Source organism: Homo sapiens, chromosome 1, assembly GCF_000001405.40.
Source record: "Homo sapiens chromosome 1, GRCh38.p14 Primary Assembly".
Classification (NCBI taxonomy): Eukaryota; Metazoa; Chordata; class Mammalia; order Primates; family Hominidae; genus Homo; species Homo sapiens.
In genome coordinates this window covers 77,333,537-77,348,010 of record NC_000001.11, presented here as the reverse complement: position 1 = coordinate 77,348,010, position 14,474 = coordinate 77,333,537, and the positions used below count along the sequence as shown (strand labels likewise).

At 37.2% G+C, this 14,474-nt stretch overlaps 1 protein-coding gene across 8 annotated transcripts in view; it reads right to left on the bottom strand.

Moving 5' to 3' along the window:
- Window positions 1-14,474, bottom strand: part of AK5 (adenylate kinase 5) — a 277,948-nt gene that overhangs the window by 211,956 nt on the left and 51,518 nt on the right. For all 8 annotated transcript variants that reach the window (NM_174858.3, XM_005270739.6, XM_017001012.2 and 5 more), the window contains one exon: window positions 7,443-7,634. In NM_174858.3, coding sequence (NP_777283.1) covers window positions 7,443-7,634 — 192 coding nt within the window. The remainder of the gene's footprint in view (window positions 1-7,442; window positions 7,635-14,474) is intronic.

Sequence of the window (14,474 nt, the reverse complement as noted above, 5' to 3'; positions counted from 1 at the left end):
AAGAGCTCTTCTCATCCGATGCTGACAGTAGGACTGCCATATAATCAGCAGCAGTTTCCAACCTCGAGAGAGATGCATTTGCTGAGTCATTTGGTTTGCTTTCTGTCTACGGGGTGTGAAGACGACTGGAAGTGAGGGAGCTTTGGGGATGGAAAAGTTGTGAGTCAGGGCGTTGCTTATGACAGAGACAGATTGCCAGGATGAGCTATAAATGTGGTATCTGCTTGTTCTTCCTGTTGTTTTGATGCTGTTCAGGAACTAGCAGAATTTGCTGCCCAGGACAGTGGATGATATACTTTGCTATATGCGGGTTGCCATTTTGTGAGCAAATGGCTTTATCTTTGTGCTTTTATTTTCCTTTCTATCCAAAAGATTGAAAGAGAAATTGTGATCACGGTATTTTAGGTTTTAGAGCCCACAATAATGACAGTATATGAAAGTAATCAGATTCACTTTTCAATTTAGTTCTGGATATTTTAAAACCAAAATTACAGATAGGTATGTAAATAGGTAAATTAAGTGGGCAACACTGAGTAATCCCCAGAGATGGCAAGCTCCTTAGGGAAGCAACAGGACTTTTCTGAGAACGGCACCATCTTGGCAGCTCTACACACAGTTAAGATTTGATAAGTGCTTGTTGCCCAGAGGATGTGATTCCTTTTAAGCTGCTCTTTATTCCAGTCAAAAATGGATACGGTATTTCTCATGTTGCTTCAGGGCTCTCACTGAGGTTCTATCAGCATCAGGTTTTGTGCCAGAAGGCACTGTTTACTTAATTTAAACACACTCTGGCAACTGAAAAGCAATTTAGGGGACCATATATCCATGTGAATATAGATATCATTGTTACCTAAGTAAATATCTTCCAGAATACTTCCATGGCCTTTCCTATTAACCTTTAAAAACTCTTCCTCGACTATTTTCTTAGTCACTAAATCCAGAAATAGGAATTAGTGGGAGCTTTTGGTTACATGACAATGGATGCTCAAACAGGATATAAGTGATGGTACTCAAAGGAAATACAGCTTCATTATGTAACACATTACAAACTCATCAACCCCTTACCTATTGAGACGCTGTAACAGAATTTTTTTCCTAGTAATTTTAGGAGAATGGGTTTTTTGGGGCAAGTTGTTATCAAATGTTTGTTTGCTTTTCTTATGTTTAGGTGGGTTGCTGATAAGTGTTCATGCTGTTTAGTTTTCTTTTCTCCTGGCTGGGTGTGGTGGCTCATCCTGTAGTCCCAGCACTTTGGGAGGCTGAGGTGGGTGGATTGCTTTAGCTCAGGAGTCCGAGACCAGCCTGAGGGACAAAGTGAGACCCTGTCTCTACAAAACATACGAAAAATTAGGTGGGCATGGTGGCATACACCTGTAGTTCCAGCTACTTGGGAGGCAAAGGTGGGAGGATGGCTTGAACCTGGGAGGCAGAGGTTGCAGTGAGCTGAGGTCACGCCACTGCACTTCAGCCTGGGCAACACAGCCAGACCCTATCCCCCACAAAAAAATTCTTTTCTCCTTTGGGTTATTTTTCTTTCCATTTCCACCATATGTGCAGTGATGCTAAGTGGAGTTGGTGATAATTAACCAATGGCTGTACGTTGAGAGTTTAGGGATAAATGTATTATTATACTTTAAATGTTAGTGTTGGTTCCTATGAAATGTGAAGTCAGTTAACAAATAATTATTCAGCAGTTCTCTCTAAATTAACTTTTACTATTCCTACTTATTTTTCCTGTGGCTAGGAGTGTCTGATGGGATGGGAATTACAGTGGATCCTTCACGACAGGGGTTTGAAGGGCATGGTCCACTTTGGTCCACCTCTGCCACTCTGAGACAGAAGCACCAACCCCTCTTCTTCCTCCTCCTCCTCAGTCTACTCAGTGTGAAGATAACAAGAATGAAGAACTTTATGATGATGCATTTCCACTTAACGAACAATAAATATATTTTCTTTTCCTTGTGACTTTCTTAATAATATTTTCTTTTCTCTATCTTACTTTATGGTAAGAATCAGTATATAATACATATAACATACAAAATATGTGTTAATCAGCTGTTTATGTTATTGATAAGGCTCTGGTTGACAGTAGGCTATTAGTAGTAGTTCTGTTTGGGGGGACTCAAAGTTATACATGGATTTTCAGTTGCATGGGAGCTGGCACCCCAATCCTTGCGTTATTCAAGGGTCAACTGTGCATAGTTTCAGTGGTAAATTTGAAATGCATAATGCGGGGATTCTCAAATTTGAAGGAAGTGATATGGGGCAAATGAAGCAATCGTAGTGTGAATGGGGTTATCTGGGACTTGGGGACAATGTCTGGTAATAAACAATGGTGTAGTTTGACAGGCCTGTGCTCTCTATGTCAATCGTTTCCCAGCACTGATGCTGGTTTGTGATGAGTGTTTCCCAATCCACAGCAAAATTAGAAAAATAAGGCAAGTATTGGGAGTTTTTTTCTAATGCCTTCACTTCGTAAAATTAAAAAGTCATCTCACCCCTACTTAAAAAATATTTTTTCTGGTCTAGTAAGTACTAAAATTAGGGAAACATTGGTCTATACAGCCTTGCTAAATAGCAGTGTAGCCCTTCCCACATTCCTTGACCACTTCCCAGGAAACCTGGTATTGGTGAACAATAAATAATCCTGATTTTAACCTTTTTTCAGCCTCTGCCTTTCCTGGCTGAAGAGATTTAGTTGGTAAACCTGCGTATGAATTAGTAGGCCTTTTCATACATCCTGTGACCACAGCTTACCTCTGATTTCAAGTTATACTCCTACAAAAAGTCCAGAAGGAAAATGACTATTTGTTTACTTCACAGTCTAAAGCTAAATGTGGATTTTAATGATTATTACCAATATTCAGTAGCATTTTTTCAATGCACACAAGTGTATATCCATTTCCCTGGTGAAATCCATGTTTTTCTGGCTGAATAGAACATCTAATGGCACAAAGTTTTGAATGCATTCTGGAAAAAATAACATATACATTGCATCTGAGCTTTTTTTTTTTTTGCACAATTTAAGAAGACCTTTTTCTTTAAAAATAAACAAAATTGCATATATTTTTTAAAAAGTTCATAAAACTTACAAAAACTTGACTTGTCTTAATTAATTCTGTTTCTTAGAAAAGGGTTCCTGAGGGGGATGAGGGATCAAAGACTACACATTGGGTACAGTAAATACTGCTCAGGTGATGGGCACACTAAAATCTCAGAAATCACCGCTAAAGAACTTATTCATGTACAATAAATATAAATTAAAAAAAAGAAAAAAAGTGTTCCAACTTGGTGAGACTGATTGAAATGAAGACTAGTTGAAAAAAACTTTTACAAGAAAGATTAAAAATTATCATGAAACAGACATTTTATTGGAACTGTAAAAATCTATAAAAGGGAAATTATTATTCAAGAGTTATACAGTTTCAAGTCCAAGTGCTCCAAAATGTCAAGAGACACAGCTTACTCAGCAATAGTAAAAGTAGCTTTCCTAGATCCAGCAATATCTAAACTAACTACAAGAAAAATCTTCTGCCAAACATTGGGAACTCACAGCATCCTAATCTTTAATCACAAGCATAAAGCAGTAAAAGATGTATTGAGAAATTACATCCAACTTCAGGGTAAGTTAAAGACAACATATAAATATGTCTGAGAAAGTTCTATGAAGAAGTTTCTAATATACTAGCCTTATGATTTCATATTATTTTCATTCATATTTGCACACATGACTGCATATGGACATGTATAATACAAGAACAAAAATGAAGAAGTCCATGTAATGGAAACTATGTCAGTAAGATACAGTATTCAAGCAACAGCATGTTTTTCTTGGCTAATCTGATTAGGCTTTCTTTTCAGTCAAACTGGGTTTGTTCTCTAGTCAAATATGCCAACAGATATAGTCAATGAGGTAAAAAAGAAAAGAGTGGAATGATGTCTGTTACTATTCAGACACAGCCACTATGTAGCTTGATTACACGGACAATATAGAATCTAAAGAAGACACTGAGTCAAACTTACAACTCATTAATAGACACTTTTAAAGAAAAAGATGAATTATGTCTAAAGTTTTTACAACCTATTCATTTTGGATTTCTTCAATAACCTATGTATTGGAGAAAAGGCAACAGAGTTCCCTCAAAGGGCACAGAATTGCTAGTGGTTACTGTAGATTCTAAAAGATGAGCATTTGCTGGGGAAGGAAGAAAGACAAAGAAATATAAAAACTGTACAATAATATCAATCATGTCATTTACCCTTACAATATTCTAGACACCGTTTTAAGCTCTTGACATCCATTTACTCCTCATAATCACACTGAGGTAGGATTGATTATTATACCTATTTTACAGGTAAGGCATACGAGTTGCAGAGCAGATAAGTAACCTGCAGAAAGTCACACAGGTGGTAGGTGGTGCAGCTGGAATCTGAATCAGGCAAAGCGGCTGCATGGAGCATCTTAAAACACGCTCTCTGCATTACTATCATCTACCATGTTATACATATTCTCTCATTTCACCCACACAACAATATTATGAGGTAGGTAACACTGTCTCCAATTTAGAGATAGAGAGATCAAGTCCTAGAGGCTATACCTTGTAGGGCATCATGAAATTATTAAATGGCAACGGAACTGAGATTCCAAGTGACAGGATTCAGACACCAAAGCGCCAGAGAAGAGGGGTACTAACATGAAGTTTCTCAACTGGACTAAACAGGGACATGGTCTCTGTGGCCCTTAAGAACTTTGTGCAGAGATAAGTGATTAATGCTATTGGAGTGTGGAGACAGTCTATTTTATTCACCACAGGGAATCCCAATCCCTAAAACAGTGCATGACATATGTGAGGACACCCTGCACATTTTCACACTTAATAATCCATCACAATTATAACACATAACTCAACAGTCATCACACTTAATAACTGATTGTTTAATGTCTCTTTCTCCACACACTGCAAGCTCTGTTCATTTCCTGGAGCTTACTATATAGTGAGAAGGTACTGTTCTAGGTGTCTGCAATATGTCTGTGCCAAAATAAAGATCCTTACCCTTTGTTTATTTAGCTCTGCACCCCTGTCCCCTAGCAGAGTATCCTGGTTTTCAGTAAATATTTACTGAATGAGTAAATGAATGAATCAGGAGGGGCAGGTGGGAGAAAAGGAAAAAAAAAAAACTACAGAGAAAAGGAAATATTTGGGTTTGATCTATTAACCCCCAGATTTTTATTAAAATCTTAACATGCTTATTATTAATACAAATGATCATTTTTATTATTTAACTCATCTTTAAAAGCAGAAGTGTCACCAAATATATTTTAATTCCAGCAATAAACTATGATCCAGGTTCTAAAAGAGGACACATGTTTTGCTTCTTTGTCAAATTTTTTCAAATTATATTCCCCAGAGCTTAGCCTGTGTTTGCGTTCATTGCTTTCCAAAAGGCGACTTTACTAGGCAAGTTTTCTGTCAGTAATTAGAAGCATTTATCTTAAAGCTCATTTGGTTTTAGCAGTGAGGTTACAGGCTGTCATCCACATTGTTATTGACTCCCTCAATTAGAGGCAATGGCATTTCACCTCCATGCAAAATATTAGTAAATTAATAATATCCACTCCGCATTCATTTGAGAAATCTGCTCTGCTTGTGATGACGAATGTGACAAGCAGGGAGTAATCAGAGACACTCTGGTAACACCTTTGAGCCTTACAAACATCAATTAAATCTGGCCCTGCACCTTACAGTTGGGGTTTGGTTTGTAGGGCAAATTTCTTTTTTTATGATACAATGTGGAAGTTAGTGTTGGTAACTGGTGAGAAAAACAAACAACAGCCTGTAATCCTAGCACTTTGGGAGGCCGAGGTGGGCAGATCATGAGGTCAGGAGTTCAAGACCAGCCTGGCCAACATGGTGAAACCCCATCTCTACTAAAAATACAAAAATTTAGCTGGGCGTGGTGGTGTGCACCTGTAATCCCAGCTACTTGGGAGGCTGAGGTAGGAGAATCGCTTGAACCCAGGAGATGGAGGTTGCAGTAAGCTGAGATCACGCCATTGCACTCCAGCCCAGGTGACAGAGCAAGACTCCAACTCAAAAAACCAAACCAAAACAAAACAAAAACCAAACAATAACCCCAACAAAACATAGCCACAGAAGCATCCACCCTGATTTTCCCAAATCTTTTCAATTACTCAATGCCTGCTTTAGATCAAAATATGAACCCTGGCATTGTGAACAATTTCCAGATCAGACTTACAACTCTGCGACATGACAACTTTGACTCAAAGAGCAAATCACGTTAAATATTTCTTTATGGTGCTAAAAAGATTGCAAAGAAATTATTCTTCAAATGTCATGTCTGTCTCTTTCAGGTCTAAGGGCATCCTAGTCTAATGAAGAGAGTTTTAACCCAGGAATTGTCAAGATCACAGGAGCTCTCTGGATGGGCTTCAGCTGATTTACCTAAAATTTGTGAAAAAAAGTCTTTATGTGCTTTTTATTGGGATGGGCATGCATCGCTTTGATTAGATTCTCTACAGAGGCTTGTAACCCAACTACACAAAACTCTTTGGTCCACTGGCCCGGGCCCGAGGGCTGAGAGGAGGATTCTGCCAAGGTCTGCCACCATCTAGCTGTCAAGCAGCTGCTGTGGTTTTAGTGTCCTCTTGCATAAAGTGCTTTCTTCAGATGACCCATTATCCTCTTTGTCTCCTCTACGCTTTAATGCTGGAATCTGATGCTGTGATTATCATAAATTTAGCTGAACCTTCACCTCTAATGTTCTAGATTCTAAAAACTGTACAAACTAATGATTCAGTGTCATCTTTCATTGGCACATTGAATATCATTAGCCATAAAACAAACTAAAAATTTAGGAAAACATTAATATTTGCATTGTATCAAAGGAGCAGAAGGGTGACTACCTCCCATTTTGATACATTATCACTTCTTTATGACAAGTCAAACCCTTAGGAAACTTTTTCTGTGAAGTCAGAACCTCATTTCTTTATGTAGTAGATCATGACAAACAACGCTTAAATCTATTATAACCCCACATCAACTGTGTGGTTATAAGTCTATCAATTTTGTTAGGCTTCCAAAGACAGACAAAAGAGTGGAGAGACTGGACAAATATTGCTTACAATCACCCAGACAGTTACTTTAAAACACTTTTTTACTTGAGGACTACAGAATTTTGGCCAAGGTTAAAATTTATCTTCTTTCATAAAAATCAATTAAATTAAAAAGAAAGTTTTTTTAAAAAAACATGATGGCTTAAAAAGGCAAATCAGGTCAAAATGATACATTTTTTTCCATTGGTTCTGTACCCCCCAAAAGCCACTTTTTAAGGTAAAGAGGATTTCTACATGAGAACATGGGCTAATGAGAAATCTGAAAGAGCGCTCTTGTATTGGACTTGTAAAAGTCGAGCTAACTTACTGTCATGATGAGCCCCTTTTCCTGGAAGTATTTAACCAATGGAGCAGCATTCTGCTTGAAGTTCATTAGTCTCCTTTGGGTAGCTTTTACATTGTCGTCTGGTCGGCCCTGCTGTTCTGCACGCTTCAGTAATCTTTCTTTGAGTCTCTGATTAGCACAAGCCAGGAATACCACCAAATCGGGGGTACAGATCTGTGGAGAGCATCAACAAATAGAGAGGCATTCAACATACCAACTAATGCATGTGTGGGCAGCTGCATTCATTTCCTTTTGTTCTGTGGAGGCTGCCATATATTTGGCCCTCTATGTTTTTGACAGTGTATTTCCAGGGCTGCTGCTCTACCCAAGGCCAGGAGCAGCCATTCCCACTGTAGTCCATGTAAATAGCATTCTCTAACTCATGTGGCCATATGCAGTAGCCAACACTTTTTATATATGCTCAAATAAGTTTCCAAGTTGAATTAAGAACAGTCTCAGCCAAACTTTGCTAAAAATATTATATATGCAACTTGATTTTAGATGGGAGGAACTACTGGGCCACAGATGTTCTCTACAGCAAACAAGTACTATTGTTATTATTACTATTTGGTGCCATTTAAAAATTATCTACTGTATGCCAGGCCCAATGCTGTTTCCTTAAGATATTGCTGGCTGGGCGTGGTGGCTCACACCTGTAATTTCAGCACTTTGGGAGGCTGAGGCGGGAGAATCATGAGGTCAGAAGTTCAATACCAGCCTGACCAACATGGTGAAACCGTCTCTACAGGTGGTGGCACGCACCTGTAATCCCAGCTACTCAGGAGTCTAAGGCAAGAGAATTGCTTGAACCTGGGAGGTGGAGGTTGCAGTGAGCTGAGATTGTGCCATTGCACTCCAGCCTGGGTGACAGAGCAAGACTCCATCTCAAAAAAAAAAAAAAAAAAAGATATTGCTAAATTTTACAACAATCTGCAAGGTAAATGTTATCTCCATTTCATAGATGAGCTGAGGCTCTGAGAAATTAAGTACTTGTCTGAGATCACATGGTCAGTAAAGTAAAAGTTAATGTTTGAACTCAAGTCTGTCTGGTCTAAGGCCTCTGTTCCTTTCACTATCACAAAGCACTAAAAGGCCCAAAGGTCTTCATAAATTTCAGAAAATACTAAGAAGTAGGATGAAAAGAACCTATGAAGTAAAAAGTTTCTATTTAACTAAATTAGAACTAGCATTGCATTTAAAACATAGCACGACTATATGAAGTGAATGCAGCTTACAACTGAGAATGGGACGAGGCAAAAAGACAGTTTGCATAGTGGTTTGAAGCAATAATCTCCAAAGTGTTTTACTGCCTCTTCACATTAGTAAATGTTTTAAGCATATGCCGCAATTACTTATTAATTTACAAATTATGCATGTACATATGATATGCATGTATTACTATACTAGTGCAGAATGCACATTGTAAAATATATATATGAAAATACAATTTTTAAAGGATGGGATTCTATTATTGTAATTTTAATGATTTTTTTCCCATATCACAGTGGTTTGCTTTGTGCACTCTGGAGACCACTAGTTAAAAAATGGACTTGGGAGGCTGGAAGACATGGATTCCAGTTTTTTTGCCCCAGGACTTACTAGCTGAACAACAGGCACATAATTTAATCTTGCTAAACCTCTATGTCCTTATCTGTCAATAGAGATACAGGAACTTACCTCCTTGAGTTATTATGAAGATTAAATAATATAAAATACATAGCATGTATGTTTCATGGCAGGTGCTCAATACATTTTAGCCACATTTACTATCTCTTAGTTTTCATGATTCTATGTGGTCCTGGTTCTCCTTTAACTTCTTATTTTTTATTTTGTTGTTTTGTCCTCTGCTCACATTTGTTCCTCCTCAGATCCCTGAAGTGGGGGTGTTTTCCAAGGCTTAGATCATACTCTTCCCTCTCCAGGTTCTCACTCTTTCAGTGCCCTTCCACTGTTTTGGTTTCAACCACTACCTTTTGCTGATAAAGTTCAAATCTACACTGTCAGCACTGACTTTCAATAGTACCCAGTTCTATGTTTTCAAATGTCTATGTGACAGCTCTATTTACATCTGAATGTTACCTGTGACTCAGCAAGACCAAAAATTAATCTCAGCAACTTCCCACCTAAATAAAATCTCAACTTATTTATTTTTATTGTAGCAACACTCCTTTCCTAAATCTCTTAGCTAGAAGACTTAGTATCTATTCTAACCCTTACCCATCTAAACTTCTATCTATCCAAGTTATCACTGTTGCCTATTGATTTTGTCTTTAAAACATTGTTCAAATGGCCAGGTGCATTGGCTCATGCCTGTAATCCCAGCACTTTGGGAAGCTGAGGCAGGCAGATCATGAGGTCAGGAGTTCGAGACCAGTCTGGCCAAAATGGCAAAACCCCGTCTCTACTAAAAATAAAAAAAATAGCCGGGTGCGATGGCGTGTGCCTGTAGTCCCAGCTACTCAGGACACAGAGACAGGAGAATCACTTGAACCCGGGAAGCGGAGGTTGCAGTGAGCTGAGATCGTGCCATTGCACTCCAGCCTGGGTGACAAGAGCAAGACTCTGTCTCAAAAAAAAAAAAAAAATAAAAAGAAAACATTGTTCAGATGTCTCGTCTTCAATTCTCATTGCCACTGTGTAAGCACAGGCGTATGCTAGGAAAGGTGATTAGGAGCATGGATTGTAGAATCAGACAATACTGAGTTTGAATCTAGAATCTGCCTTCTATTCGTTGTTTGTCCTTGTGCAAATTGTTCAATCCCTTTGAACCTCAGTTTTCCCCGCTGCAAAGTAAGGAATAAACTCCCAACTCAGAAGTTAGTATTTCCCAATTTTTAAACAACATGCAAATCATTTTTGAGAAACCTTAAAAAATTAGAGAATCACTTGTAGTATTTGTATGATATATGATAAAGAGATTACCTGAAGTTAAAGCTTTTATTTTTATCAAATATTATGTTATAAAATTCATAGTTAACATAATTACCAGTAACATCCAGCTTCAGCCACTATAATAAAAGATATAATTTAAAATTTACTTTAAATAAATTACATAAGAAATTTTTTTGACAAATAAAATGATATATTGTGCTTGGTTTGGAGATAACGCATATTAAAATATAAGAAAAAACTTCTAACTCAGCATTGAATGCAGATAAAAACTTGCATTTTTAAATTTTTGCATTTTGCACTGAAATGTTTTACTTTAATACATTTTGTGTTTATTTTAGTCTGTTAATGTAAGTGCTTCTCTTTGCTTGACACAGTAAGGCCATGGATAGCCTTCTACCTATGTGGGATTACTACAACAATTACAATCATCACTATATTTTGTCTTTTACTACAGGTATTGGCTTTTGAAACACTAGCGACAGCTTGAAATTTATGTGGTTTTTTAATACTTTGAATAAAATTGCATTTTGTTTATGTATGTTTTTAGTTAGACTTTTTCCAAGCAGTTTTAGGTTTACAGAAAAATTGAGTGGAATACATAAGATTTTTGATCAATAAATGCAACTTCAGGCCTGAAAAAGATGACCTTGAAATGAATCTGCTAAGCTATTTAATGTTATAACTGTGATTAATTTGCTGTCTTTCCTTGGTATAAATTAATGCCATATGACTAGTTCAGTGGAAACCTTACAGGCCAGGAGAGAGTAGCATGACATATTTAAAATGCTGAAGGAAAAAAATACCATTACCCTGGAATAGCATATCCAGCAAAAATATCCTTCAAACATGAAGGAGAAATAAAGACTTTCCCAGACAAACAAAAGCTGAGAGATTTCATCAACACCAGACCTGTCCTACAAGAAATGCTAAAGGGAGTACTTCAACCAGAAAGAAAAGTTAGTTAATGAGCAATAAGAAATCATATGAAGGTAGAAAACTCACTGGCAATAGTAAGTACACACACACAAAAAAAACCACAGAATATTATAATACTGTAGCTGTAGTGTGTAAGCTACTTTTATCCTAAGTAGAAAGACTAAATGATGCACCAGTCAAAAATAATAACGATGATAACTTTACAAGACATAAGATATAAATAAAAACAACAAAAAAGTTTAAAAATGAGGGGATGAAGTTAAGGCATAGAGTTTTTATTAGTTGTCTTTTTGCTTGCTTGTTTATGCAAACAGTGTTGTTATCAGATTAAAATATGGGTTATGGCCAGGTACAGTGGCTCATGCCTGTAATCCTAGCACTTTGGGAGGCTGAGGTGGGCAGATCATGAGGTTAAGAGATCGAGACCATCCTGACCAACATGGTGAAACCCTGTCTCCACTAAAAATACAAAAAGTAGCTGGGCGTGGTGGCGCATGCCTGTAGTCCCAGCTATTCGGGAGGCTGAGGCAGGAGAATCACTTGAACCCGGGAGGCGGAGGTTGCAGTGAGATGAGATCGCGCCACTGCACTCCAGCCTGGCAACAGAGTGAGACTCCATCTCAAAAAAAAAAAAAAAGGGTTATAAGATAGTATGTGCAAGCCTCATGGTAACCTCAAACCAAAAAACATACAATGAATACACAAATAAATAAAAAGCATGAATGAGATTGGTGCCCTCATAAGATAGAAACCAGAGATTCCCTGTCCCTTTCACCATGTGAGTGCACAGAGAAAAGACCGCTATGAACCAGGAAGCAGGCCCTCACTAGACACCAAATATGCCAGTGCCTTGATCTTGCACTTCTTAGCCTCCAGAACTGTGAGAAGTAAATTTCCACTGTTTTTAAGCCTGGATAAATAGATAAATAACATATGACTGGGAGTAAAAAAGATTAAAATACAAAATAGCCAAGATCACCACAGCAGGTAGGCGTAATCAGCTGACTGCTCCACCCCAGCCATAAGGATGCTCATGGGATTCCTTGTAACCCCTGCATACATTATGGCCTGATGTTCTCCAATAGTGCTCCATTTTAAAGGGAAAATATACTTAAATTGTTTATGTTTTCCCAAAACTTTAGTAGCAGACATCATTCTATTTTAAAAGATGTGAAGACCCCAGAAAGTTTTTAAGAAATTCACTGTGAAATGTTGAGAAGTATCAGCAAACAAAACAGTGGTCATAAGATCCTTTGCATCCTTTTCCTTAGCGTATGTTCTCAAAAAATATGTGCTGATTGAATGAGTGAATAAATAAGTTACAAAAAAAAAAAAAAACCCAAAAAACTGAGGCATCACTTTTGTCTACATGGAAGTAAACTTTCAAATTATTGATATTGTTTCTCCTGCGGAATCAACAAATTCAGTCTTTTTTTCTTCTTTCATTACACAGACAACTCAATCTTCCTCTGTCCATTTTTAAAGCCTTTACTTGAATGACTGTTCTGTTAAAAGAACCTGTGACTGCCTTTGTATAAGCAAAGACATATTCATTGTGTCAGACTGCAAAGTGAGCTCATTTTAATGCTCCTTGTTCTTAACTGTCAGTACTTTTGACTGCCCTATTCTTTATGAAGAAGTGTTAGAAGGTCTAGACTCCATAATTCAGATAAGCTAAACTGTCAGAAAACAGAAAGTAAAGTACTAAAGAAAAGAGAAAATCACAGTTGAAACAAAAACTTTCTAAAAAAAGGAAAAAAGACAGACAACTGGACTTTGCTATCATTTAACATGGAGGTAATTTCTGGACAGAGCTTTCAACAGATCACAGGGTTAGGGGACAAAAAGTGATATATGGGGCCCACCCAGGGGAAGAGGCTCTAGAAAGTAACCACACCAAACCCCACCCCCAGGCTTTTGTTGGACTCCAAAATGGTATACCATCAGAGTATGTGTGAACCACCCTTAGATAACTAAATTTCATTTAGGATACTCTCAAACTCTTATTGTGTTAAGGTGATTGAATGTGTTTAACAGAGACAAATGAAAAGAGAACAAAAAGGACAGGTCAGAAGAAAATAATCCAGAATGAAGCAAAAGAAGAAAAAGGTAGAAAAAATATGGAAAGGAGCAAAAGAGACACCTGAGACATGGTTAGAAGGCTCTAGAAACGGAGAGAAAATGAAGAAGCAATATTTGAAAATATAATACCTAAGAATTTTCCAAACTGACAAAAGCCATCAAGTCCCAGATCCAAGAAGCAATACAAAAACCAACAATAATAAGCAGAAAACTCAGATCTAAGCACATCATAGTAAAACTGAAAACCTAGACAGACCAAAAAATATCTTTAAAGCAGCCAAAAAAGAAATGAGAGATTACTTTCAGAGAAGCAACAATTAGACTGACAGCTAAATTTTCAAAAGAAACAATGAAAGTCAGAAAACAATGACACTATTTTTTTAAAGTGTTGATATATAATAACTGCCAACCTACATTTTTATATCCAGCAAAAAAATCTTTCAAAACTGAAGACTAAATACAGCATTTCCAAACAAACAAAAACTGAGAGAATTTGTCATCAGAAATTCTATAGTAATTAAAACATCAAAGAGTATTCTTTAGGTAGAAGAAAAATGATCCAGGATAGAAAGTTGGCCCAGAAGAATGAACGAAGGGCAATGAAAATGGTAAATATGTAGGTAAACCTAAATAAATATTAACCATATAAAAGAATAGTAAAAGTATCTTGTGGTATTTACAAATAAAGACAGTACATAAATCATGAGGCAGTAAATGAAGTTCAACTGTTCTAAAATCTTTTACTTGTTCAGGAATTGTACCTTTACCACTGTAAAAGTACTGATTTCTATGAGACATTAATAAGTTAGTTAATGATAATATGCCATAATTTCTAGAAGAGGAGTGGGTAAACTCTTTCTGTAAAGGACCAGATGGCAAATATTTCAGGCTTTGCCGGCCATATGGTCTTGTAGCGTGCAAGTAGCACAGACAATAAGCAAAATAATGGGCATGGCTGTGTTCCAATAAAACTTATTTACAAGGACAGGCAGCCAGTAGGACTTGGCACATGGGCCATAGTTTGCTGACCCCTGCTCTAGAATAATCACAAAAAAAGTTGTCACATAAGATACAATCAACTAGCATGGTGGGGGGGAGATTTAA